The sequence below is a fragment of the Homo sapiens genome, chromosome 22, assembly GCF_000001405.40.
Source record: "Homo sapiens chromosome 22, GRCh38.p14 Primary Assembly".
In the NCBI taxonomy this organism is placed as follows: domain Eukaryota; kingdom Metazoa; phylum Chordata; class Mammalia; order Primates; family Hominidae; genus Homo; species Homo sapiens.
The window spans coordinates 39,632,378-39,652,405 of NC_000022.11; the positions used below are offsets into that span (position 1 = coordinate 39,632,378).

At 55.1% G+C, this 20,028-nt stretch overlaps 1 protein-coding gene across 2 annotated transcripts in view, besides 2 other annotated features; it reads left to right on the forward strand.

The window, feature by feature from the left end:
* CACNA1I (calcium voltage-gated channel subunit alpha1 I) overlaps positions 1 to 20,028 on the forward strand; it is a 118,983-nt gene that overhangs the window by 61,625 nt on the left and 37,330 nt on the right. Inside the window, exons 5-10 of one of the 2 annotated variants that reach the window (NM_021096.4) lie at positions 2,188 to 2,347; positions 8,490 to 8,805; positions 10,420 to 10,512; positions 14,192 to 14,504; positions 15,445 to 15,549; positions 17,124 to 17,548. In NM_021096.4, coding sequence (NP_066919.2) covers positions 2,188 to 2,347; positions 8,490 to 8,805; positions 10,420 to 10,512; positions 14,192 to 14,504; positions 15,445 to 15,549; positions 17,124 to 17,548 — 1,412 coding nt within the window. The remainder of the gene's footprint in view (positions 1 to 2,187; positions 2,348 to 8,489; positions 8,806 to 10,419; positions 10,513 to 14,191; positions 14,505 to 15,444; positions 15,550 to 17,123; positions 17,549 to 20,028) is intronic. The other variant, NM_001003406.2, reaches the window with a different exon arrangement.
* Positions 2,489 to 3,208: an enhancer, noted in NCBI's record as "H3K4me1 hESC enhancer chr22:40030871-40031590 (GRCh37/hg19 assembly coordinates)". NCBI's record gives its function as "activates a minimal SCP1, AML or CMV promoter by ChIP-STARR-seq in primed H9 embryonic stem cells {active_cell/tissue: H9 hESC(primed)}" and the evidence as "EXISTENCE:reporter gene assay evidence [ECO:0000049][PMID:30033119]".
* Positions 18,836 to 19,766: an enhancer, noted in NCBI's record as "H3K4me1 hESC enhancer chr22:40047218-40048148 (GRCh37/hg19 assembly coordinates)". NCBI's record gives its function as "activates a minimal SCP1, AML or CMV promoter by ChIP-STARR-seq in primed H9 embryonic stem cells {active_cell/tissue: H9 hESC(primed)}" and the evidence as "EXISTENCE:reporter gene assay evidence [ECO:0000049][PMID:30033119]".

The following is a 20,028-nucleotide window of genomic DNA, read 5'->3' on the forward strand; positions in this document are numbered from 1 at the left end:
GAGCCCCACACTCCTCAGAGCCCCCTGCAACCGCCTTCAGGAATAGTGCCTTTGCCCATGCCAGTCCCTCTGCTGGCCAAGGCTTCGCATCCTGGAGTCCAGCTCAGCAAATGTGCCCGGAGCGGCCCCACTCCCCAGACACAGTCCTTTGGCTCAACACTTGGTCCCCTGTCCCCTTGCTGCCAGGCTGTGAGCTCTGTGTGTGTGTGGGGGGAGGGTTGGGGGGGTAAAAAATGGGTCTTGTTTGTCTTTGGATTCCCCATGTGCCCAACGCCATGCCTGGCATGCAGCTGGCATTTACTATGTGTTTCATGAATGAATGAGTGAGTGAATGAATGAATGAATGAATGAACGATGGGGCACCAGAAAGGCCTGCAGTTGGCCTACTTGAGTCAGGGAATCCATTTGGATGGATTATGAGGGCACCCATTCTATTTCTCCCTTCCCTCTGCTGTACACGCCTCGCTTCCCTGCTTGGGGGTGTAGGGTGGTGGGGAGCTGAGCCTCACCCTGGCCTGCTCTCGGTGGGGTGAAGCAGCCTGCAGGCAAGCTCCACTGTCTTTCCTGAGAGGAGGCTGACCTAGTTTTGTGGAGAGGGAAGATGGGGTGGGCCTTAATTATTGATTGGAAATCACTGCACACAGAGTTTGTGACGCAAATTCCAAATAATTATCCTCATTAATAAGCACCTCAGGCTCACCCCTAGCATACACAACCATCTGGACAGGGCCACTGTTCTACTTGTCACCATCCTTCCATCTTCCTCTCTCCAATCTTCCACTCCCTCCCCATGACTTATCACATCATTCATTCATGAGTAGTCATTGAACAAATGTTAGGTGAGCCTGTCTTCTGGGCCAGGACCTGCTGGGTTCTGGGAATACTGAGGTGACTTAGACAAGGGCCCTGCCCCCAGAACCTTATAGCCTAGTGGAAGAGATAGGAAAGTAAACAGACAACTATACATTAGGGCTAGAATAAGACGAGATATTGATATGGATGGAACCTCCTAGGTTGTGCAGTATACAACCTGCACAACTGTACGTGGCAGCCTAGGCTAGGTCAGAGGTGCTGAGATTGCCCAGAGCAGAAGAGAGAAGGATGAACTCTACCTGGGATGATGTAAGAGTCTGGAAGCCTTCACAGAAAGAGCTTTCACAGGGCTGCGGTGGCTGAATAGGGATTTGCCAGGCAGAAGAGAGGAGCAAGGGTGTTCTAGGAAGAGGGAACAGCAGGGATAAAAGCATGGAGGTGTGAAATCTCACAGTATGTTTAGGGAACTTCAAATAATTTGGCACTGCAAGGCAGTAGACTGCAAATTGAGAGAGGTATGAAACTAGAGAGGTGGGCAGTATGGACTCTACAGGATCTTAGGGGGAGGGTGTGTACTCAAAGGTGCCCCACCAGCTCTTCACCTTCTTTGGGGCCATGGACTCCTGTGTGGGCCTTCTCTGTAGAGCCCGTTAGCAGGCGCTTGGCTCTTCTGAAGTTGGCTCTGGGGGCTCTGCCTGGTTCCATCATGCAGTGGGAGTGGTAGTTCTGGCTGGTACTGCTGTGTCCTGACATGGTCAAGGGGAACAGTGACTGTCTCAGAGACAAAGGGTATTCAGGACACATTCATTGGGCACGTACTACAACCACTCTGCAGGTGCTGGGCATACTAAGGTGAACCAGCCTCAGTCCCAAGGCCTCTGGGACAAGGGGGTTGTGAAAAGACAGCTAGACTTTGTGTCAAGACACCTGGTTTAAATCTAGACCCTGCTGCTTCTGAGCTGTGTGACCTACGGCAAGCAGTTTCAGTTCTTTGAGTCTCCAGTTGCCTTCTCTATAAAATAGAAATAAGAGTACCAACCTCACAGAGTTGTTGTGAAGACTGAAGATCACATTTGTGCAAGTACGCAGAAGAACACTTGGTACATAAAAGGTGCTGCATAAATGCTTGCTTGTTCATTCACAATCTAGTGTAAGTGGAGCAGGGCCCAGAGCCATTTCCATGGCTTTTTCGGTGGAGGGGCAGATAAAAAGGAGAGGGTGTATCTGGCAGCCACTGAACAGGATGGGAACAGCAAGGAGCCCCTGATAATGCATCCCCCTCCCCCTCCCTGTTTCTCTAACCTTGCTCTCACTCTTTCGTCTCTGGGACCTCTGCTCCCTGTCTGACCATCCCTCCACCTTTTCCCCTCCCAGGTATGCGGATCCTGGTGAACCTGCTCCTGGACACACTGCCCATGCTGGGGAATGTCCTGCTGCTCTGCTTCTTTGTCTTCTTCATCTTTGGCATCATAGGTGTGCAGCTCTGGGCGGGCCTGCTGCGTAACCGCTGCTTCCTGGAGGAGAACTTCACCATGTGAGTTCATCCCCTGCCACCCATGCAGCTCCGGGGACTCTTACTAAGACACAGTTTTAACCTTCTGGGTCATTGGGAATCAGGACCAATGGGGTAGAAGCAGCAAAAAAAGAGAGGTCAGGTAGGAGGGGAAAGGGAAGTTAAGACACAAGCAGAAGTGATGCCCAGGAGGAAAAAGAAGACAGAAAACCTGAAGAGCAGGCACAGAACTTGGCTCTCCGCCCACAGCACATTCATTCCCCTTGGTGGCTGAGTCATCCAGGAAGGGTGAGCTCCCATTTGGCCGCTTGTGTATGAAAGCAGGGGGCGAGACATTCCTCCGAGAGAGGATTATTGACACACAAATCAAGCTCTGGATCTTGGAGGAGCTGGGCTTAGTTGTCTGAAAAATTGGACACCTATAGAACCCGTGCTTCCGTAGTGGTGGGGGATAAGTGTGCACACACATGTACCTGCGTGTATGTGTTTGGATGTGAATATGCATTCATTTCAGATATGCATGGCGTGCACCGACTAAGTGCCAGGCCCCAGGGAGTCAGAAATAGGAGAGCATCTTCATCCATGTTCTCACTTCCCTTTGTTGAGCCTGTGCTCGGGGCTCAGGATGCGGCAGAAGGGGGGGGGTCCCTGCCCCCTGCCCTTGAGAAGCGCAGGGCTGGGAGCCGATCCCAAACACCTCTAGTGAGTGCCTCTCAGTCTGTTAATCATGGACCGAGGTGACTGTAGGAAGCGTGGGGACGTGGGGACACTGTACAGGTGAGGGCTAGTTTCTCCCTCCCGGCCTGGTTGGGGAGAGGGTAGCAGAGCTGGAGGGTGAAAGTTGGGTAGGAACTGGCCCATCCACCCATCGCTGTGGGGGAACAGTAGGGTACCTGGGTAGACCACAGCAGGGGCACCTTGGTGGGTAAAGGCCCCAAGTGGGGATTCAGGAAGGGGGTCTACACTTGTGCCCATCCCCAGAAGAGGCAGGTCCTGAGGCAGGGCCTGGGGCAGTGGGGCTGGGGAGAGGCAGCTGCTTCGAAGTCAGGGTAGTGTGAGCTCCGCCCCTCTGTCCCACAGGGCTCTTTCCCTGGATCCTTCTGTGGCCAGCCCCTTCTTATTATGTGGGCTCAGCCCACCTGACACCTCCTCCTAGAGGCCTTCCCTCGCCCTCCCTCACCACCCCAGCCCCAAGCTCGCCATCACACAGCCCTGCTGGGTTTTCTTCTTGACTCATCTCTCTGAAATCATCTCCTGTCGGTTCATCCGAGGTCTCTGGAGGCCCCTGAAATGTGAGTTCTCTACCACAGCAGGGGCACCTGGGGCTTAACTCCTCCCAGGCCTAGAGCAGGGCTTGGCACAGGTGCTCCCAACTAATTGTTGAAGGAATAAGTGAGTAAGTGGATGTGTGAGTGCATTTACCACCCAGAGGCAGGCTGGGAGCGAGAACCAGTTCTTCCTAGGCCTGGCGTGTTGGAGACTCTGCGTCCCGTTCCCTGATGTCTCCTCCTCTGTGGTCTTCCCCAGGCCCCATGAGATGGCCCCAGCCCTGTCTCGGCTGCAAAAGGAGAGTTGGAGGGAGGATGCTGAGGATGTGCTTGGGCTGTGTTAAAGAGGAACCTTATCTGGTCCACCCCCATCCCCGCCCCAGGAAGGGAATAATAAATACAAGGAAATGTCCCTGGAGAAAGAACGCCCTAAGGGAAGATGCTGGGTGATTGCCACGCCTCCCTCTGAGCTCCTGGCTTCATTCTCTTAGGGTGGGTGTTATTAACTCACATGCCCTATTGGGCTGGGGGATGGTCGGTGTTGCGTGAAAAAGGAGATGAGTAAAGTTCACGCACGTCTGGTGGAGAGCAAGGCCAGGGTCATCCCAGGCCTGTGACTCCTGTAGAAATAAGGGAGGCTTAGACCTTAACTCACAAGGCTTGTTTAGGGCAGGGAGCAGAGAAGTTGGTAACCAGGGTTCACAAAGAGGCAGCAAGATCTCTTCTGGGTGATCAGAAAGCTGGAATTTGAGAAGATCCTAGCTAGGATCTTGGGGAACCAGGCAGTTGGGCAGGGGAATTCCTCAAAGTCCTCTTTTCGGGCTCTCCCCAGCCGGGCTGTTGCCTGGAAGCCTCTAGCTCCTGGCACAGTGGGCCCTGTGAGATGGACAGAGCTCCGTCGTCAGGGCGGAGAAGGGCCCTTCCTGGGGCGTAACACGCACAGGTGGGAGATGGGGCCACTGAAAGCCTCAGCCCAACCTGTCACTATGCAGATGGGGACTGAGGCCTAGATGGGAAGGGACTCACCCAGGGCCAACAGCAAGGCTTCCAGCAAGCATCCAGCCTCTCCCTGGCTGTGTGGGTGTCAGGACACTGTCATTCCACAAACACTCACCGACCCCTTCCAGGGGCCAGGGCCTATGCTGGGCCCTGGGGATGCAGAGACCCTTTATCTTGGCCACTGCCCTCTGTACTGTCTCACTGGGGAACTGCATGTGTTGAAAATTAGGCCTCAGGATGCTCTGGGCTTGGCAGAGTGGGGCCTGGAAGCCCAGAGCGGGTACAAGACCAGCCAGGGTGGGGACCAATGGGGCTTCTCGCTTCACAGAGGACCAGTGGGACTTCTTGCTTCTCAGAGGATGTGAACTTGAGCTGAACCTAAAAGATTCAAGAAAAATGTCTCCAGGCAGATGGGGGGACAGGGAGTAGGTGGGGAGGGTACTCTTGATCGAGGCAACCCCACTGCTGCGGTGTGGCGTGTGGGTTAGAAATCGGAGCCCCAGCCTGGCGTTCAGGGTCAAATCCTGCCTCTGTCACTTGGCAGCACTCCTGTGTATTTACCCAAAAAAGGGATGGCTTATATATACCCAAAGATGTGTACAAGAATATTTATGAGTCATAAGAGCCAAAAAACCAGAAACAACCCCAAACCATTGGCAGAATGAATAAATAAGTGGCAGTGTACTCACTCAGCGGAATACTCACAGACATGAAAAAGAAGGAATTACATTTTGCTCTCTTAACGGTGTCTTTTGATGAATGAATCTCTTAGTTGTAATGAAGTCCAGTTTATCAATCATTTTTTTAGCATTGTTTTTTGTGTCCTGTTTAAGAAATCTTTTCTAAAGGTTGTGAAAATATCTTCCAGTGCTTTCTTTTAGGAACTTACTTTTTTAAAAAGAAAAATCCTTTACATGTAGGTCTGACGTCCAAATCTAGCTTTGTGTATGGTTTGTAGATGGAGTCAAGATTTTTTTTTTTTAGGTGAAATCTCACTCTATCGCCTAGGCTGGAGTGCAGTGGCATGATCTCAGCTCACTGCCACCTCCGCCTCCCAGGTTCAAGTGATTCTCCTGCCTCAGCCTCCTGAGTAGCTGGGATTACAGACGCATGCCACCACGCTATTAAATGGCTAATTTTTGTATTGTTAGTAGAGATGGGGTTTTGCCATGTTGGCCAAGCTGGTCTCGAACTCCTGACCTCAAGCGATCCACCCACCTCGGCCTCCCAAAGTGCTGGGATTACAGGCGTGAGCCACTGCGCCTGGCCCCAGTTGGGGTCAAGATTTATTGATTTATTTTTAGTGGATAGTCAACTGTCCCAGGACCAGTGGTGGAAAAGTCTGTCCTTTCTCCACTGAATTGCAGGGGTGCCTGTATGAGACTCAGGTGACCATATGTATTTGGGTTGGATGTGTACATTTTGATTATTGATGGATGTGCCAAATTGCCCTCTAAGAAGGTTGTACCAATGTATACTCCCACAACAGTGTATGTGAGTGTCTGTTTACACTTATTCTTTCCCATGCTGAATATTACCAACCATGAAATGTTTGCCATTTGGGTAGGTGTAAAATGATCTCATTATTTTTTGTTTGCATTTGGTTATTTTGTTCCATTGGTGAGTGTTTCTTCCTATATATTGGCCATTTTTTATTTCTTCTGTGAATTTTTCTGTTCTTATCTTTTGTCTTTTTTTTCCCCCTAGTGGGTTATTTTTCCTTTTCCTTATTAAGTTATGGGAGATTTTCATATGCTTTAGATCAGCAGTCCCCAACCTTTTTGGCACCAGGGACCAGTTTCGTGGAAGATAATTTTTCCATGGACCAGAGCAAGGGGATGGTTTTGGGATGAAACTGTTCCACCTCAGATCATCAGGCAATAGATTCTCATAAGGAGTGCACAACCTAGATCTCTTGAGTGTGAAGTTCACAATAGGGTTCGTGCTCCTATGAGAATCTAATGCTACCACTGATCTGACAGAAGGTGGAGCTCAGGCAGTAATGCTCCCTTGCTGGACACTCACCTCCTGCTGTGTGGCCCCGGGGTTTGGGGACCCCTGCTTTAGATAGTTACCTCTTATCTCCTTTGTATGTTGCGAATACTTAATCCCATTCAACAGCAAACTATGGCCTGTTTTGGTAAATAAAGTTTTATTGAAACAGCTATCCCCACTTGTTTATCTATTTCCTATAACTGTTTGCAGATTACAATGGCAAAGTTGAGTCATTGGGACAGAGGCCATGTGCTCTGCAGAAAAATATTTGCTAATACAGGCCATTACACAAAAAGTTTGCCTACCTCTGCTTTATCCCAATTTGTTGCTTGTCTTTTTACTTTGTATATTTTGTCTCAGTGAAATTTTACATTAGTATGTAGTCAATCTGGTCGAACTTTTCCTTTACAAAACTTGGATTTTTTGTCTTAGCCAGGATGGTTATACCTATCCTGAGTTAACAAAAAATATTCCATATTTTCTTATAACGTTTTTGTGGTGATGTTCATTGCATTTATGCTTTTTAATCCACTGGAAGTTTACTGTTTTTAGTTTTATAATATATCTTACTTAATCTAATATATTCAAATATTATTTTTAGTGTGCAATCAATATAACAATTAAAAATGAGATGATTTATATGTCTATTTTTGGATACCAGGTCTTCAAAAAGTTTATTTTTGTGTATGGTGTGAGGTTGGGATCCAACTATTATTTCCCAAATAGATAGCAACTATCCTAACACCACTTACTGATGGGTCCCTCCTTTCTCTGCAGGTCTGAAAAGCCATCTCTGTGATATACTAAGTTCTCCTTTGTACATGGGTTTGTCTTTGTGCTCTATGGCATTCCATTAACCTTTCTGTTCCTGTCACAGTGCTACACTGTATTAACAATCATAGTTGTACAGTATTTTGCTCTCTTATAGATCTGGTTTCTGTTTATCTCTCTCCTTTTTAAAGCTTGTCTTGACTATTTTCCCATCCAAATAAATCCTAGAACCATCTGGGCAGGCTCCACGGCCAAAATGTTGGGATTTTTGATTAGGATTGCAATGAAGCATAGATTAACCCTTCTGGATGGTCATAGTAGGGATTGTTGTCTGTTTTATAGATGAGGAAATCAAAGTCCAGAGAAGGGCAGCCCGGCTCGGTGGCTCACACCTGTAATCCCAGCACTTTGGGAGGCTGAGGTGGGTGGATCACCTGAGGTCAGGAGTTTGAGAACAGGCTGACCAATATGGTGAAACCCCATCTCTACTAAAAAAACAAAAATTAGCTAGGTATGGTGGTGTGCACCTATAGTCCTATCTACTCAGGAGGCTGAGACAGGAGAATTGCTTGAACCCAGGAGGTGGAGGTTGCAGTGAGCCAAGATCTCACCACTGCACTCCAGCCTGGGTGACAGAGTGAGACTCGGTCTAAAAAAGAAAAAAAAGAAACGAAGTCTAGAGAGAGGAAGTGATCAGCCCAGGATCACTTACATGGAAGTGGGTGGAGCAGATGGAGGATCTACCTGTCATCTGCTAGATCGGTAAAAGCCAGTGCTTGTTTACTGACCACCTGCTCTGTCTGTGCGAACCCAACAGTGTGTGTGGCCTGGGGATGCTGAGATGTCCAGACTCCCGAGGGAGTTGAGGGCATCTCCCCCAGGAGCCATAATGAAGGTGTGTGCAAGGCACAGTGAGGCTCCCCAGAGAAGGGGACCACAGTGGGCCAGTGGGGGTTTTCATGGCCATAACAGAGGTGGGGAAGGGTGACCAAGGCAGGGGAACAGCATGTGCCAAGGCCTGGAGGCAGTGACAAGGCCATCCTGCTATGCTGCATGGCCTCTCCCTTCCTGATCCTCCTGACAGTGACCCCTCCCCTTTCCCTCTTTTACCCACCCTCGCCTGTGGACAGACAAGGGGATGTGGCCTTGCCCCCATACTACCAGCCGGAGGAGGATGATGAGATGCCCTTCATCTGCTCCCTGTCGGGCGACAATGGGATAATGGGCTGCCATGAGATCCCCCCGCTCAAGGAGCAGGGCCGTGAGTGCTGCCTGTCCAAGGACGACGTCTACGACTTTGGGGCGGGGCGCCAGGACCTCAATGCCAGCGGCCTCTGTGTCAACTGGAACCGTTACTACAATGTGTGCCGCACGGGCAGCGCCAACCCCCACAAGGGTGCCATCAACTTTGACAACATCGGTTATGCTTGGATTGTCATCTTCCAGGTGAGGCCATTCAGGCCTGGGGCCAGCCTGGTCCTAGAGTGGGCAGCTCTGCCTGGTGGGCAGGGCTCTGTGCTAGGCATTTGCCAGCCCTCATCTCACTGAAACCTGCCCAGCTTGCTGGCAGAATAGGCATTATCATGCCCATTTTATAGACAGAGAACCCAAGGTTCAAAGAAAGGAAGCAAGCTAATTGACCACAGATGATGTGACTATTAAATGGCAAAAATAGGCTCTTAACCCAGCTCTGGGTGTCCCCAAAGCCTGAGCTCTTTGCAGAGCCTCAGGCTGCCTTGGGCCCTATGGATCCCAGCAGGGAGGGCTGTTCAGAGAGGAGAGGCAGGATTCAAGCTCTGTTGGAGGGATTGGCTGACCAAGGCCAGGATCATGGGGTAGGAGGACATTCCTGGTGGGGACAGCCTGAGCAAAATTCTGGTACAGGGAGTGCCAAGTAGCTCATCTGGAGTCAGAAAGAAATGTGTCTCGCCTTGTCACCCAGTGCACATAATGCACACAGGTTCACAAAGCAGCACTAGCCTCATGGCGTGCAAAGGGCTTGTTGCGTGGCCCCACTGCACTGACTGTCAGCCTATACTCTGCAGAGGATGGGCTGGGATATGTGTAGGGAAAGAACTAGGGCAGTGGACCTTGGCCAGTATTGCTTGGCCTCTCTGTGCCTCAGTTTTCCCATCTTTAAAATGGGGTAATAACAGCCCCCCTCACCTTGGGTCATTGTTAAGAATAAAGCAGATGGCACGCTCAGGGCAGCCAGCCCTGTGTACAGAGTGCTGGGTAGAGGTTACCTTTCTGCTGTCCTCAGAAAGAAGGGGCAGGAGCAGACAGAGGGGGAGCTGAGAAGTCCCTGAGGGGGCAGCGGGAGGGCTGAACTCTGCTGCCTCCGCTGCCCTGCGCTGCCTCTGCTGCCCTGTGCTGCCCTCTGCTGCCCTGGGCACTTTGCCCTGGGGAGCATCAGGGTCATTTGTTCAGAGATGCAGGGTGTGAGGTGACGGCAACAGCTGTGTTTTGGAACCCTCTGCCCAGGAGGGTGGGTGGCCGCTCAGGGGGTCCCACTCTGTGCATTTGCCAGAAGCCAACAAGGACCCAGGGTTTGTCTTTCTCAAGGCTGCTCCATCCCCCAGTCTGGGAAGGAGTTGGGGTGGGGTGGGGGGTGACAAAGTCACACCAGCCTCATTGCGGTGTGCACTCCCAGGCTCCACCGAGCTGCACCCCAGCTCTGCCAGGTGGGCTCCCCACATACAGAAGAAGCGGCTGAGACTCAAAGAGGGTGGGTGGCCCAGCTGATAAGCTGGAGCAGGGGCAGGCTCCCTGCTTTTCCAGCCCTCCCGCTGGTGTGGTAGACTGGAGGGACCAAGGTTCAAGTCCTGGCACGTCCCCTTCCTGGCTGTGTGACAGTGGGCAAGTGCTTTCCCCTCACTGAGCCTCAGTTTCCTCACCTGTATAATGTGATGTGCCTTGTCCAGCCCCTGTGAGACAGACTCGAGGCAGCATGTGTGATGCGTTCTGGCACACAGTGGGGCCTCTGTCTGGGGCACTGCCTGGGCTACGGGCTTTCTGATGGGCCAGTCCTCTCGGCTCTCTCTCCTCTGCGCGCTGCAGGTGATCACTCTGGAAGGCTGGGTGGAGATCATGTACTACGTGATGGATGCTCACTCCTTCTACAACTTCATCTACTTCATCCTGCTTATCATAGTAAGTGTCAGGGAGCCTGGGCTCCTAGGTGTGCTCAGAACCCATGGACCAGGGGACCTGAGGAGGGAGGGTCTTTGGGAGTCCCTAGGGAGCCCCTCAGAGCCAGGACAGCCGGGATGAGGGAGCAGGAAGGGCTGTTTCTCAGCACCACCGGGCAGCAGATGATTGAAGGGGCTCATCAGGGGCGGCTGTCGGGAGCATCCAACACCTTCGATTGCTGTCATTTCTCATGTGTGGGCACTTACTTCCCCACCGATGCTCTGCTCCTGTTTCTCTGCCTCGTGTCTCTGGGCTACATTCTTTGCATGACCTGAGTCCAAGGAGCAGCCTCAGACTGGAAGCTTCAGAAGGGCTCCAGCTCATTCCTGTTTTCCTGGACGGAGAAGACAAGATGCCCGGAGACTGAGCAGGGTTTGGAGGGAGGTCGCCTGATAGTGACCCGGTGGAGCTCCCTGGAATTCTCAGAGGGACTCCCATCTCTTGGGCAGCCCTGCCTTGTTGGGGTAACCTGGAGATGGAGGTGGGCTCACCCTCCTCTTCCTGGCCAGCCCCTCTTGCCTGCACCCCCATATGGTCTTCCCAGAGTGAGCTCATCCACCTCGTCATGCCTGACTGCAGCTTCAGCACAGCACAGTCCCCAAAATGTCAAGGTGATTCATTCCCAGGAGTCGCTGCTGAATCCCTGCTGCTGCGAGGTTGGGTTCTCTGGCTTCCTGGTGGTGGGAGAGGGCACGCTTGGCCCTCCAGGGCAGTGCCCCATCCTGGGCTGGCAGGACCTTGACCTGGGGCCCCAGAACAGACCAGCAGGTGACCTGAGACACCTGCTGTTGTCTAAGCTCCAGTGCTTTCTTGGGGAGGCTGGGGCCTTGGACCTATAGAAGATGCCCCAGGTAAAAGGAGAGGGGCCAGATTTTATTCAGCATTGCCATCCATGGCCTTGCATATTCACTCACCAGAACATTCAGGAAACCCACACTGCACCAGGCCCTGAGCCAAGTGCTAGGAACAGAGCAGTGAGTAAGGCCCAGCCCCTGTCCTCGAGGAGCTCACAGGCTCGTGGGGAAGATGGGCTGACAGCAGTCTGACCATACAGCACCTTAGGTGCCATGATAGAAGGGAGCCCAGAGAAGGCTCCCGATCCAGCCTGGAGGAGGGATGGGGAGGTGGGAGGCTTCCTGGAGGAGGTGATGCCAGAATTGAGCCTTAAAGACTCAGGGAGGTGAGCAGGGAAAGAGCCTCTTGGGCAGGGGTGGCTCACAGAGCCCCTGAAGCTGGCCAGGATCCTGCAGTGTGGGAGCCACAAGCCCCTGGGGTTGCAAGAGGAGTCTCCAGTTCCCGGGAGGGGCTGGAGGATGCTCCATCTGCTCTCGCTGTGGGGTTAAGGGTGGCTAAGGGTACAGTTGGGGTAAAGCACGATGCTCCCCGAGCTCATTGTGAAATGGGGGACAGTGACAGCACCTTGCTCCTGGGCTCTCAGGAGGGTTAGGTGAGACAGAGCCTGAAGCCTGCATGTCCTTGGCACACAGTGAGTACTCAGTACATGTGCCCTGCTACTATTATTGCTGCTATTATTGGGTCTCAGGTGGCCCTGTCACAGGACGATGAGTGCTGGCGAGAGGCTGAAAGGGCTGAGTTTTTTCAGACACTGGGAAGGGTCCAGAGAGCAAAGTCAGGACAAATGCACTGCTATGTCACCTGCAGGGTCACCTCCTGTGAGGACCCTGAACCCCAGAAAGGTGAGGGGTCCTTGGCCTTCAAGCCCAGGCCCTAGTGCTCCTTCTTTAAATTTTCTTTCTTTTTTTTTTTTTTAATTTTAGAGACAAGGTCTGGCTCTGTTGCCCAGGCTGGAGTGCTGTGGTGCAATCATAGCTCGCTGCAGCCTTGATCTCCTGGGCTCAAGCGATCATCCCCCCTCAGCTTCCTGAGTAGCTGGGACTATAGGCATGCACCACCATGCCTGGCTAATGTTTAAATTTTTTTTTGAGACAGTGTCTTGCTATATTTGCCAGGCTGGTCTCAAACTCCTGGACTCAAGTGATCCTCCTGCCTTGGCTTCCCAAAGCACTGGGATTACAGGCATGAGCCGCAGCCCCCGGCCCCCAGTGCTTTTTTTTAAGACGGAGTCTTGCTCTTGTTGCCCAGCCTGGAGTGCAATGGCCTGATCTTGGCTCACTGCAACCTCTGCCTTCCGGGTTCAAGTGATTCTCCTACCTCAGCTTCCTGAGTAGCTGGGATTACAGGCATGCACCACCATGCCCGGCTAATTTTTGTATTTTTAGTAGAGACAGGATTTCATGATGTTGGCCAGGCTGGTCTCGAACTCCTGACTTCAAGTGATCCACCCACTTCAGCCTCCCAAAGTGCTGGGATTACAGGCATGAGCCACCGCACCTGGCTTCCTTCTGACTAAAAAAGTTCTTGGCTCATCAGGTTTGAGCCTCCTATTTTACAGATGGGGAAGTGGAGGCCAGGAGGGGATGGAGGCCCACCCGGGTCGCCCAGGGCAGCAGCTGCAGAGGCAGGGGCGGGTAGGAGCCTGACAAGCGTGTGGTCCCAGAGGGCAGGGCCCAGCTGTCTCTTCCTGTGACTCTCACACAGGCCTGGTGCAGGGAGGCTCCCCAGGAAATGCTTGTGGACAAGGTGACTGAGACAAGGATGGGATGCCATCTTCTTACCCGAGAGGCAGGGGATTTTCCCAGAGTCCTCTGGGCCAGCAACCCTCCCAGACTCTAGCTCCTCAGTCATCACTGATGAGGCTGCAGCCATGGAGAACCTCCTGGCGGGCACCTCCAAGGGGGATGAAAGCTATCTGCTCAGGCTGGCCGGCAGCCAAGTTCACTCCCAGGCTCAGCAAATGCTGGGGAGGGGGCTGCGCCCTGAAAGCCTGGAAACTGGAGAGGAGCCCCACTCGTGGAGCCCTCGGGCCACAAGGAGATGGGATCCCCAATGCCAACCAGGGCAGCCTCTCCCCCTTCATTTCATGCAAGCACAGATAAAGCCACATGAAAACCCCAAGGCAGCTTCTCTTTTCTCATCTGGGGTCCCAGCTGAGGCCAGATTCTGGTCAGAGAGAAGGCAGGGCTGGGCAAGGACTCAGGGCCTGGGAAGCCCACGACGGGCTGTGGCCTCCCTCTCTGGGCTCAGTGCAGATGTCCCAGGCGGATGGGGGCTAGGCCAGGGCCTAGGGGTCTGAGGGGAGCTGGGCTTTGAAGCAGATTCCGGTCGGGCCCAGGGAGCTGCCTGGGCCGTCGCTTTCTCCTGGAGCGAGGCCTCAGCGATCTTTTCCTGTCCCCATCTGTGTCTGTGCCTGTGTCTCTCTGGGCCCCTCCACCTCCCCTGCCCTTTTCTTTCCCTGTTTCCACTCGTCCCCTGCATCTCCCCTCCCTTGCATCTGTCTTTTCTGAGCCCGTCTTACTCTCTTTGTCATCGCGTCTCTGTACCTCACTGTCTCTTTCTACCTGCCCTTGCTCTGGCCTCTGTGTCTCCGGTTGGTCCCTGCCCCTCCTCCTTGCTTCATTTCTGCCTCTGTACCGCCATCTCCATCTCCATCTCCCCATCTCCCTCTGCCTCCCTCTCCCCATGTCTCCCTGCTGTCCCCACTCCATGACTCTGCCTCTCTCACCCTTCTGTCCCCTCCATCCCTGTCCCTGTCCCTGTCCTCTCCTCCCGTTGGTCACAGGTGGGCTCCTTCTTCATGATCAACCTGTGCCTCGTTGTCATAGCGACCCAGTTCTCGGAGACCAAGCAACGGGAGCACCGGCTGATGCTGGAGCAGCGGCAGCGCTACCTGTCCTCCAGCACGGTGGCCAGCTACGCCGAGCCTGGCGACTGCTACGAGGAGATCTTCCAGTATGTCTGCCACATCCTGCGCAAGGCCAAGCGCCGCGCCCTGGGCCTCTACCAGGCCCTGCAGAGCCGGCGCCAGGCCCTGGGCCCGGAGGCCCCGGCCCCCGCCAAACCTGGGCCCCACGCCAAGGAGCCCCGGCACTACCGTAAGTGGCCCTGCATCCGACGCGGCACTCAGGCACTTCGTGCCAAGTGTCACTCCTTTCCAGCACGTCCAGCAGGCCCAGCAGCCTCCAAATTCCAGGTCTTCACTTCATGCTCAAGTGTTTCCTTCACAGCCCCCAGGGACCTCTGTCCCCACCTCTGCCTGCCCTCTCCTGGCACCTGTCAGAGCCTGCGCTGGGCCGGGCCTGGGGCTGAGGGAACTCAGCCTTTGCCCTGGAGGAACTCGATCCCTGTGTATGTGTGGAGATAGCAGATCGGCCTCGGAGGAAGCCACACTTGAGAGGAAAGAACAAGTGTCTCTCCTCAGTCTCGGAAAGCTAAAATTCTTCCCCCCCACTGCAGCCACATCACTCCCTTCTCTGGGTTCCTGCTGCTGTCCCCTGCTTTCCAGCACACCTGAGCAATGACCCTGGGTACCTGACACAAAGGGGCTGTGGGCCTGCCCCTCAAAGCTGTGGCATGTTGGGGACTCATGCCACCCTGTGCTCTGTGCTTGTCGTGGGGCTGTGAGAGTTACACTTTTGTTTTTTGTTGTTGTTGTTAAGACAGGGTCACCCAGGGAGTACAGTGACACAAACACAGCTTACTGCAACCTCAAACTCCTAGGCTTAAGCCATCCTCCTGCCTCAGCCTTCGGAGTAGCTGGGACTACAGGCATGCACCACCATGCCCGGCTAATTTTTTAATTTTTTTTTGTAAAGACGGGTCTCCCTATGTTGCCCAGGCTGGTCTCAAACTCCTGGGCTCACGTGATCCTCCCGCCTTGGCCTCCCAAAGTGCTAGGATTATAGGCATGAGCCACCGCCCCTGGCCAAGTTTATGCTTTTAGGCTTGGAAGGGGCTGCCCTGTTGGTTGCCTCATCTGTTCCAGGAAACGGTCCTGAGAAGGGAGAAGATAGTAATATTATCTCCACTTTTCAGATGGGAAGACTAAGGGTCAGGGAGATGAAGGGAGACATCTCGGAAGCCGGCATTGCCAGACTTTGCATGGGCCTGCCTCCCCTGGAAATGATCACTCGGGAAGAGGCAAGCCAGGGCCACGGGAGGTGGGCCCTGCCCCCAGCCCCAATACCACTTCTCCCAGTTGGTGCTGAGAAGGAAGTCGGCAGGCATGGGGACGGCGCTTGAGCAGCCGCGACCCTCTGCAGGCCTGTCTCCCTCTATAAAGTGAGGACAGGGGCCCCCAGCACGTGGCCGTCCACGGCGGGAGTCAGCCACCCCAGGCCCTGCTCTGGAAAGCCCTGTCCTTCCAGCTCTCACAGTCTGGGAATCGATTCTTGGGAGGCAAGCAGAAGAATGCACGCTCAGAGCTGCCGCCCACCCGTCCTCGGGTGCCAGCCATCCAGGCGTGGGCTCGGAGGAGGCCCCAGGTGGCCCGTGGGCAGGCCCGGCATGCGGACACAGGAGCTGGGGCCGGGCAAGGCTGGCACTGGTGTTGCTGGAGGACGTGGGGGAGAAGTGTTCACTCCAACGGGCTTCCTGCGGCCGCCCAGCCCCCTCTCCTGGCACTCTTGCCCCCTTGCCCCTGGGCCTCCCCTCTGCCCTGGAAAACGAGAGTTGGCTGTCGCCCCACGTCCAGGTGGGAGCAGTGAGCCGGCGCTGGGAAGGGCTTTGGGCCTGTCCTCCGGGGTGAGATGGGACTGACCCCTGGGTTCCTGGCTGCCCGCCCTGACTCCAGAGGTGTGAATGAGCCAGGGGTGCTTATTCAGGGCTTGGGAGGCATCTGGAGGCAAGTGTGGAAATGAAGGGTAGGCGTGACATGCTTTTCTTTCCCTTTCATGTTACTTTTTTGGCTTACACAAGCAAAATGTGTTTATTCTAGGAATATATAGGAAAACACAAAGAAGGCATTAAACCAAGCAGAGAGAGGCCTCTCTGACACCTCTTTGAGATGGTTCACAGATCACAGAACTCAGTCCAGGGCCAGCCCAGGCGTCTCCTGTGATTCCGGGGCAGCAAAGGGATGAAGTTCCCTCTTCCCAGGGGCCCTTCCTGCCCGCTGCCCCCACCTCCACCCCTTGCGTGGAGGGAAGTCCCAGGGGCTTCTGGAGTGAGGGTCTGCCCTTGCCCCAGGGCTCCATGCCTCCTCCCCTCCCTGGGAAGCAAACCTCACCCCTTCCCCGCTCCCCACCTGCTGTATAGGCAGGAGACTTGAGAACACCAAGTCCACCATGGCCTTCTCTGACGGGGGCTGCCCCCACATTGGCCTGACTCTTTCAGAATCACATCTAGTTCCCAAGCTGCACGACTGGGGCTCTGGGTCTGTTCCATGCTGACCCAGGGCCTAGGCCAGGAGGGATGGCCGGTCAGCACGGATGCGCGCCCTGCACCGTGCTGGGCCCATCATGTGCCTTAAGGGAGAGAATCCTCCTACAGCCTGCATGGTGGGCGTTCCTGCCCCAACTTCTACAACAGGGGCAGACAAAGCTCAGAGAGCTGCAGCCGCTTCCCCAGGCACCCCTGACCGCCTTTCCAGGCTGGGTCGGCTGGTTCCAGGCAGACCTGTGGGCCTGGGAGCCAAGCGCACTCAGGGATGTGTCCCAGGGTGGATTGGGCCTGGTGTGGGCAACGACTCTATGCCCCTCTCATTTGCTTTTCAGAGCTGTGCCCGCAACATAGCCCCCTGGATGCGACGCCCCACACCCTGGTGCAGCCCATCCCCGCCACGCTGGCTTCCGATCCCGCCAGCTGCCCTTGCTGCCAGCATGAGGACGGCCGGCGGCCCTCGGGCCTGGGCAGCACCGACTCGGGCCAGGAGGGCTCGGGCTCCGGGAGCTCCGCTGGTGGCGAGGACGAGGCGGATGGGGACGGGGCCCGGAGCAGCGAGGACGGAGCCTCCTCAGAACTGGGGAAGGAGGAGGAGGAGGAGGAGCAGGCGGATGGGGCGGTCTGGCTGTGCGGGGATGTGTGGCGGGAGACGCGAGCCAAGCTGCGCGGCATCGTGGACAGCAAGTACTTCAACCGGGGCATCATGATGGCCATCCTGGTCAACACCGTCAGCATGGGCATCGAGCACCACGAGCAGGCCAGTGCAGCGCAGCCGGGCCGGGCCTGCGGGAGAGGTGTGAGGGCCCCAGGACCCTGCCCAGGCCTGGGCAGCCCCATCCATCTGCCTGGGTTTGTGTGTCTGTCCACCTAGAAGTGCCGGGCTGAGCTGGGTCCAGTTCATCCATGTGACCTTACTGCCCAGCCAGGGCCGAGCTCAGAGGAAGGAAGGGCTTGGGTGTCTGCCGAATGAATGATGAGTGAACGAGTGAAGCTGGCTAGGACTGGGCCTCTCCGGGGCTCTTTTCCTCCTAAGCTGCTCAGCCTGGATACCAAGGCAACCACAGCGCATCCCCTGCCAGTCCCTGCAAATCTGACTTCTATTCACCTCTCCACCTGAGCCCTTCTGTTTTCTTCTTTAAAAAAAAAAAAAAAATTTAAAAAACAGATAGAGTCAGAGTTTTGCTCTGCTGCCCAGGCTGGAGTGCAGTGGCACGATCAAGCGATCCTCCCTCTTCAGCCTCCCAAGTAGCTGGGACTACAGGGAGGTGCCACCAAGCCTGGCCACCTGGGCCCTTCTGTCCATTCCCCCCCAAACAGCTGGGGTGATTCTTCCAGAGGGCCAGTCTTGTTGGGCTCTTCCCTGCCTCAAAACTTCTGTTGCTCCTCATTGCCCTCAGGACAAAATCCAGACCTTTGCATGACCCTCAAGGCCCCTTGTCTCTGTCACAACGTCCCTTCACCAGGCCAGGGTGTCCTGTCCCATCCAGTGACTCCACCCCATACAGCCCCATGGCGCTGAGGGCGAGTGGCCCTGTGGTTGTCCTGTGTGTCCTCTCTGCATGTCCCTCCTGTGGGCTGGGAGCAGGGAGGACAGGAGGAGTGGGCGCTGAGCTGAACAGTGTGCTCCAGGCCCCTGGGCCATCACAGGGCTGGTGGGCCCCAGGGGGACAGTACATAGGGGAGGGGACAGCTTCTGGGAGATGGTGGGAGCTGGGGGAGGATGTGTGTGTGAGGAGAGCAGGGCCTCTGTGGGGACACGGGAGGGAGGGGCAGTGGGGTTAGCAAGGATGCCTCAGTCCACAGGCCCCACCTGGGGTTGACAGCCTGGGTGGCAGGTCTGGTCCTGCCCCATTTGGAAAAACACCATTTTCTGGCTCCTGCCATCCACCAGCCCCTGGATGGGGTGACTCCCTGAACCCACTCCCCAGCTCTGCGAAGGTTCCCACCTAGCAGCTGGTGACCCTGAGGTCCAACGGCGGGGAAGTCACTGGCCCGAGGTCCCGCCGCCAGCTGGGGGCCAGGTTCGAACCAACTTCTTTCTGTGGCAAGACTGACGCCCCGGGAGGGCTTGGGATTTCGACATTCTGTTTGCTGCCCTGCGGCCCTCCTTCTGTGGAGGCCCTGCATGCCGCACCCCATGGGGCCGCACACGCACCTCCCTCTTCGTTAGCTCACCAAGCACAGGCTCCATTCAATTTACTTAAATGGGGCTCCCGGGGCTGCCATGACACTCTGTTCAGAGCTGCTCATTTGCCAGCCATTCCAGCTTAATTAAAAAGGTCTCTGGGGAGGGCTAGCGAGAGGGCTCTCTGCAGGGGGAGAGCTGGTGAGACAGGGCCCCCAGGACCCCCTTGCTTAGAGTTCAGCCTCTGGTCAGTGCCTGACCCAGGCCTGCAGGGGAGCAGCATTCCTGCAGAAAGCCCCACAGGGAATGAGTGCTGTGGGGCTCGCTCCAGTCTCCAAGTGGGGCAGCATCGAGGGGGCCTGCACAGCCCTGCTACCCTCGAGCCCCGGCACTGTCCTTGCCAGGGGCTTGCTGGAGCCAGCTGGTGAGGGCCAATTTCCAAACACTCAGGAATTTTGCAAGCCAGTGATGAAAGAGTTGGGAGCTTGAAATTGGCCGTGGAGGGAGTATTTACACCATGGAAATTGGCAGATGTTCCACATCAGGGCTGTTTGCAGAGGGCTCTTTGCCAGGGTCCAGCTGGTCCCTGCCTTTTCACCCACCCCATCCATGTCAACACCACGGCCAGGGCAGGTCCAGCCTCAGGCCAGGCCACGGTCCCTGCCCAAGCCTCCTCAGGATCTGCCTCTCCCTCCTTCTGTCACATCTGTCTGATCAAGCTTTCCAACCTCGGATCTGGTGGAGCCTTTTTTTTTTTTGAGATGGAGTCTCACTCTGTTGTCCAGGCTGGAGTGCATTGGTGTGATCTGGGCTCACTGCAACCTCCCCCTCCCAGGTTCAAGCAATTCTCCAGGCGTGTGCCACCACTCCCAGCTAATTTTTAGTAGAGACGGGGTTTCGCCATGTTGGCCAGGCTGGTCTTGAACTCCTGACCTCAGGTGATCTGCCTGTCTCACCCTCCCAAAGTGCTGGGATTACAGGCATGAGCCACCGTGCCCAGCCAGGTGGAGCCTCTTCTGGGAGCAGCAGGCTTCACGTGGCTTCCTGACCAGGCTAAGAGATGAGAGAGGCTGTTCCCACTGTGCGTCTCCTGCCTGGTCACAGGGCCCACC